Consider the following 7,255-nt stretch of genomic DNA (forward strand, 5'->3'; position numbering starts at 1 on the left):
TATTTGAAAGTACTTGGATATTGTGATGTAAGCTGTATCTGATTTAGAGAGCACCCCAATCCCAGTAACACTGTTTTCTTGCAGACTCATGGAGGTACTACCTTGATGGTCTTGGAAAAGATCCAGAAGAATTCTCTGCATTATCAGGCAGAGAGACTCCTGTTCCATTCTGTTACTTTCTTCCAAGCAAAAAGAGTCTCACTCTCCTTGTTCTGAGCCACATAAAGCCGGCGGTGGAGTGACACAAGCATCCCTGTGGCCACCACCACTATGACTGCATTGGGTCAGACCTGAAGCCAGCACAGCAGTGGGGCTTGCCAAGGCTGGCTGTAACCACTTCCTGGCTACTGCCTATGTTTGCTGAAGGCCCTGGGGCTCTACAATTAGCTGGTGGCAAAGCCGGCCAGGCCTGTGTCCTTCCCTTCAGAGCCGTGAGGTCCCCCAGGCCCCAGGTGAGTCCAGAGGTGCCTTTTGGGAATCAGGGACTAGAGTAAAAAAACTTGGAAGTCTAGCTGGTGTTCTATTGTACTGTGGCTGAGCTGGTATTCAGACCACCAGATGCAGTCCTTCCCACTCTTCCTTTCCCTTCCCAAATGCAGAGGAGCCTCACCCCATAGCCACTGTCAACCCAGGCCACGAGGAGTACTGCCAGGCTACCTCCAATATTCCCTTAAGCATCGAGGTATCTTAAGTCAAGCTTGTGTTGAATGCTTCCTGCCTTGGGACTCGCCCTTCAGGGCAATGGGTTCCCCTCTGGCCTGGGGCAGGTGCAGAAATGGTGTCCAACAGTCAAGTCCTGGAATCGGAGACCTCAAGAGCCCACTTGGTGCTTTACCCCACTGTGGCTGTGCTGGTACCTAAGGTGCAAGACAAAGCCCTCTTTACTTTTCCTTCTGCTTTTCTCAAACAGAAGGAGTTTTGCCTTGTTGCCACCACAGCTAGTAATGTGCTGAGTCTCACCTGAAGCCAGCAAGTCTCAGAGGCTCAACCAAGGGCCTTGACATAGTACCTAAATGTAACTGCTGGTTATTCAGGGTCCTGCCAACCTTCAGTTAGCAGGTGATGAATGCTGCCAGGACTGAGTCCTTTTCTTCAAGGTAGTGGGTTTCCTTCTGACCCATGGTGTGTCTAGAAATGTCATCTGGGAACTAGGGCCTGGAATGGGGGCCTCACGACTCTTCCCAGTCCCCTATTCTGCCGCAGCTGAACTGGTATCCAAGATGCAAGATGAAGTCCTCCCCACTCTTCTTTCTCCTCTCCACAAGCAGAAGGAAAGGGTCTCCTTTGGAGCCACGGGCTGTGCAGCCTGGAGTTAGGGAAGGGGTGACGCCAGCACGCCCTTGGCTGCCTTAGCTGGTGTCTCAGTATGTCACCTGCCCTCCCAGTTAACTGCCTCTGGGCCTAGTTCAGCACTAGAACTCGCCTGAGATCTGCAGTCTTCATGGCCTGGGCTGCCTTTCAAGTTTACTTGGAGACCCAGACTGTAGCCCTCGGTGGTGAGGTTTGCAGGAACTCAAGTTTAGACCACTGGGATCAGTGATTCCCCTCTGGGTAGGGCTGTTATTAAATGCTCCCTCCATGGGCAGGCGTCAGCTGAGTTGGGTGTGGTTTTCCTTCCTGCCGTAACAGGACAGCACTGAGTTCAGTGCATCACAGTTGCTGTGTTCTCCCTCCCGTGCACGCAGAGATATCCTCAGTACCACAACACAGCTGCAGGGGCAGAGGGGCGTCAGTGATTCAGGACTGTTTTTGCTATTTCTTCGGTGTCTCTTTCAGCATTATAAAGTTAAGAGCAGGTACTATGAGTGCTCACCTGATTTTTAACACCTCATGAAGTTGTTAAATTGGTGTCCTTGTGGAGGGGGATGATAGCTGCAGTCTTCTATTCCTCCATTTTTCTCTGTCTCCTCATTTTTTTTTTTTTTTTTTTGGAGACGGAGTCTTGCTCTGTCACCCAGGCTGGAGTGCAATGGCACGATCTCGGCTCACTGCAGCCTCCGCCTCCAGGTTCAAGCGATTCTCCTGCCTCAGACTCCTGAGTAGCTGGGACTACAGGTGCTACCATGAACAGCTAAATTTAATTTTTTTAATTATTATATATTGTGGGCGAAGGATTACCTAGGTGCCGAGGCAAGAGACTAAAGGCACAAACTGTTTCAGTATAATAAAGAAAATAGAATAAGAATAGTCATAATACAAATTAGATATAGAGATGATCGTGGACAATTATCAATCATTATTATAAACATTATTAATCATTAGCTTTTAATATTACTCTTTGTTGCATTACTAATATAACCTAGGAATAACCAGCGGGTATAGGGTCAGGTGCTGAAAGCACATTGTGACAAGTTACCTAGAAGGCAAGAGCTGAGCCTTCTGTCACGCCCGCATAAGGGCCGCTTGAGGGCTCCTTGGTCAAGCGGTAATGCCAGTGTCTGGGAAGACACCCACGACGTAGCAGACCGCAAAAGGGAGTCTCCTTTCCTTGGTGGAGTCAGGGAACACTCTGCTCCACCAGCTTCTTGTGGGAGGCTGGATGTTATCCAGGCCTGCCCACAGTTATCCGGAGGCCTAAACCCCTCCCTGTGGTGCTGTGCTTCAGTGGTCACGCTCCTTGTCCACTTTCATGCTCCTCCAGCACTCCTGGTTCCTCTTTGAAGTTCGTAGTAGATAACGGTAGAAGAAATAGTGAAAGGCTTAAAGTCTTTGACCTTTCTTATAAGTGCATAGAAGAAAACGCTGATGTATGCCACCTTCTCTCTGCTTCAGCTACCTAAAAGGGAAGGGCCCCCTGTCCTATGATCACATGACTTGCTTCAACTTGTCAATCACTTAGAAGATTCACCCTCCTTACCCTGCCCCCTGGTCTTGTATGCAATAAATATCAGCGTGCCCAGCCATTCGGGACCACTACCTGTCTCCGTGTCTTAATGGTAGTGGTCCCCTGGGCCCAGCTGTTTTCTCTTTATCTCTTTGTCCTGTGTCTTTATTTATTACAATCTCTCATCTCCGTACATGGCGAGAACACCTGCTAAGCCCCGTAGGCCTCAACTCTACAATATATTTATTTTATATTGCCCAGGTTAGTCCCTAACTCCTGGGTTCAAGTGATCCTCCCACCTCGACCTCCCAAAGTGCTATAATTACAGGTATGAGCCACACCACACCCGGCCAATAATACACGTATCTTTGCAAGCATAAACATTCAGGTATCCTAACAACAGTCTCATAAGTATAAGAGTTATGAGTAGATGAACTGTATTCATAAAGAAATAGGCCAAAAAGTAAAATGTATTAACATATATGATTGGTAATTGTGTGCACTCAACTTTATAACTGTGGTCATCTGAAATACCAAGATGGACAATATAAGTCTTTTGACAAAATCAATAAAAATCCGCAGTGAGTTACCACCACACATGCAGTTGCCCAAAAAGCCAAGATCTCAAAATATTTTATCTTTCACAAATATGGATGTACAAAAAGAAGATATTTTATTGAGGAAGTTGCAATGTTTTTACATACATGCACAATGCTTACACAAATTCAGCTTCGTGATAATGCACTTTCATGGAGTCAAATTTGCAAAAATGCATAAAATGAATTAGAACTTTCTAAACATCTTTATACAATTTATACCTTCAGTATTAAAAATGGACTGAGGAGGCCGGGCACAGTGGCTCACACCTGTAATCCCTGACTTTGAGAGGCTGAAGTGGGCGGATCACTTGAGGTTAGGAGTTGGAGACCTGCCTGGCCAACATAGTGAAACCCTGTCTGTAGTAAAAATACAAAAATTAACACTTGAGCCCAGGAGGCGGAGGTTGGAGTGAGCTGAGATTGTACCACTGCACTCCAGCCTGGGTGACAAAGTGAGACCCTGTCTCAATAAAAAATAAAAATAAAAAAAGTATGTTATTATTTCCTGTTTTATTGTCTAAAATGGTCTATGAAGTGCTCTGTTGTGTTTTTATGTTTCTCAAATCTCCTTTAAAAAATATAAATAAAGAATTTTAAAGAATTTTTAAAATTATTTTGTCAAGAATTATATTTTCAGGATTTTAATCATTTGGGATTGGAATTTTGGGGATTTTGGACTTCAGGGATTTTGATCTTTCAGGATTTCATCATTTGGGATTATAACATTCAAGATTGTGTCTTTTGGGATTATGGCCCAAACCCATGCAATGGGCCAGTTCTTTGAAAGGAATAGTGTTCCATAACTCACACAAGGAGAAATAGAAAATTTGAATAGGCCTATACCTGTTAAACTAAATCAATAACTAATAACCTTCTATAATAGAAAGCACCAGGCTTAGATGGGTTCACTGATGATTGATCAAACATTTAAGAAATAAATCTTTGACCCAGAAATATTTCCTTAAAATTTTTTTTCTAAGAAAGAAATCATACCAATTCTCTACAATAGCTTCCAAAAAAATAGAAGCTAAGGGAACACACCCTAACTGACTCTAGGAGACCAGCATTACTCTAATACTAAAATCAGATAAAGACATGACAAGAAAGGGAAAACTACAGTCTCTCATAAACATAGATGCAAAAATCCTTAACAAAATATTAGCAAATCAAATGCAATAATGTGTAAAAAGAATGATATATTATGACCAAGTGGGATTTATTCCAGGTATGCAAGACTGATTCAACATTTGAAAATCAATTAATGTAACCCATCATATCAACATACTAAAGAGGAAAAAATCATGATTGTATTAATAGGTACAGAAAAAGCATTTGACAAAATCCAACACTCATTCAAGATAAAAATGCTCAGTAGGCCAGGTATGCATGTAATCCCAGCACTTTTGGAGGCCAAGGCAGGAGGATCACTTGAGCTCGGGAGTTTGAGACCAGCCTGGGCAACAAAACAAGACCCCGTCTCTAATTAAAAAAAAAAAAAAAAAAGGCTGGGTGCGGTGGCTCACGCCTGTAATCCCAGCCCTTTGGGAGGCCAAGGTGAGTGGATCACGAGGTCAGGAGATCAAGACCATCCTGGCTAACACAGTGAAACCCCGTCTCTACTAAAAATACAAAAAAATTAGCCGGGCGTGGTGGCAGGCGCCTGTAGTCCCAGCTACTCAGGAGGCTGAGGCAGGAGAATGACGTGAACCTGGGAGGCAGAGCTTGCAGTGAGCTGAGACCGCGCCACTGCCCTCCAGCCCGGGCGACAGAGCAAGACTCCATTTCAAAAAAAAAAAAAATGCTCAGTATACTTGAAATAGAGGGGATCTTCATCAATCATATACAGAATATCTACAAAAAACCTACATCATACTTAATGATGAGAGACTATATGATTTTCCCCTAGGTCAGGAACAAGGCAAAGATGTTTACTCTCATGTTCCTATTTAATATCATACCAGAATCCTAGCTAATAAGACCAGATAAGGAAATGTAGCTTTATACAGATTGGGAAGGAGGAATAAAACTGTCTTTGTTCACAGTCAACATGATTGTCTATATAGAAACACATACAAAAAGTCTCCTGAAACTAATAAGCAGTTATGGCAAGGTCACAGGATATAAGGTTAATGTACAAAAGTCAATTGCTTTCCTATATACCAGCAATGAACAATTGGAATTTGAAATTTTAAAAAAGTATGTATGTTGAAGGCAGGGAAGATTGGGAATTTTATGAGTGAAGAATTGGCAGGAGAGTGGGCTAAAGAGGTAAAATGAGGCTACACTGTGAAGAACCAAGGAAAATACTGGGGTCTGTTTGTTTTAGAAAATTCACAATTTGGCTGGGCGCAGTGGCTCATGCCTGTAATCCCAGCACTTTGGGAGGCCGAGGCAGGTGGATCACCTGAGGTCAGGAGTTCAAGACCAGCCTGACCAACATGGAGAAACCGTGTCTGTACCAAAAATACAAAATTAACTGGGGTGGTGGCACATGCCTGTATTCCCAGCTACTCAGGAGGCTGAGGCAGGAGAATTGCTTGAACCCGGGAGGTGGAGGTTGCAGTGAGCAGAGATCACGCCATTGCACTCCAGCCTGGGCAACAAGAGCGAAACTATGTCTCAAAAAAAAAAAAAAAAAAAAAAAAAAAAAAAAAAAAAACAGAAAGAAAGAAAAAGAAAAAGAAAAGAACAAAAAATTCACAATTTAACTCATGGTACACAGTGTATAGGATGGACTGGAGAGAAGGCAAGGGAAGCTGGAGTTTCTAGAGGCAGGAAGGTTAGTTTAGAGGGTATGAACATGATTTGCCAAAGAGGTAATAAGGTTTGGACTACATTTATGTCAGCAAAGAGGAGAGGACAGATTAATTCATTCAATAAGTGATTGAGTAGATACCTACTGGTGTCAGGCATTGTTCTAGGCACTGGGAATACAGCAGCAAACAAAATGATTGAGTAGATACCTACTGGTGTCAGGCATTGTTCTAGGCACTGGGAATACAGCAGCAAACAAAATAGATCACCCCTTGGGGCTTTCAAGTGGAGTATCGGTGACAGAGTGGGTGTCTGATTGGATATCGGGGAAAAGGAGAAAGGTGCGATGAGGCAATTCAGGGGTCATTGGTACCTGGATTTTTCACCTTGAACAACTAAGTGATATCATTGGACTTGTTGGGTAGACAAGGTCTAGGGGACATCCAGATGGACTCATTTTCACAGCTAGCAAGAGAGACATTCTGAAGATCAATAGTAAGGGAGAAACTGGAAGTACAGACTTTGGGGTCCTAAGAGGCAGTTAGAACCATGGGAGTAGATGATGCTATCTAGGAACGTGAGATGTGAAAGGAGTGGACTCAAGCTAGAACCCTGCAAAGCACCCACAGCTATAGGGTAAGTGGAGGAAAGGGCAGAGTGCTTGAATTTGTTGAGTGCCTACTAAGTTCCAGGTGCTTTGACATTTTGTCTCACTGAGATTTCACAATAAGTGTATAAGATAAATAGTTTTGCCTCTTACTTCCCCCACCCCAACAAATGAAATGGAATCAGAAGTGTAGGAGGAGAACTAGGGGAAATTAGGAAGTGAGATTTTCATCAGGGCAAAATGATGCTGACGGATCAAATGGGACAAGAAATGTGAAAAAAATCATTTTACACTTTTATCCATCTATTGATGGATAAAATTTAACCAAAATTGAGTCACTGAATTTGATCATTGATCAAATTTTTCTTACTCTGATAAGAGTTTTCAGAAAACTCTGATCAGAGTTTTCTTACTCTGATATCTCATATTCAAAAGGGAAAGAAAATCAACAACACAATAAACAACCTCCTG

General features: G+C 43.2%; 1 annotated feature.

Moving 5' to 3' along the window:
- Positions 1,708 to 1,757: an enhancer, noted in NCBI's record as "active region_21676". NCBI's record gives its function as "activates an Ori minimal core promoter by ATAC-STARR-seq in GM12878 lymphoblastoid cells {active_cell/tissue: GM12878}" and the evidence as "EXISTENCE:reporter gene assay evidence [ECO:0000049][PMID:35858748]".

Source organism: Homo sapiens, chromosome 4, assembly GCF_000001405.40.
Source record: "Homo sapiens chromosome 4, GRCh38.p14 Primary Assembly".
NCBI classification, from domain to species: Eukaryota; Metazoa; Chordata; class Mammalia; order Primates; family Hominidae; genus Homo; species Homo sapiens.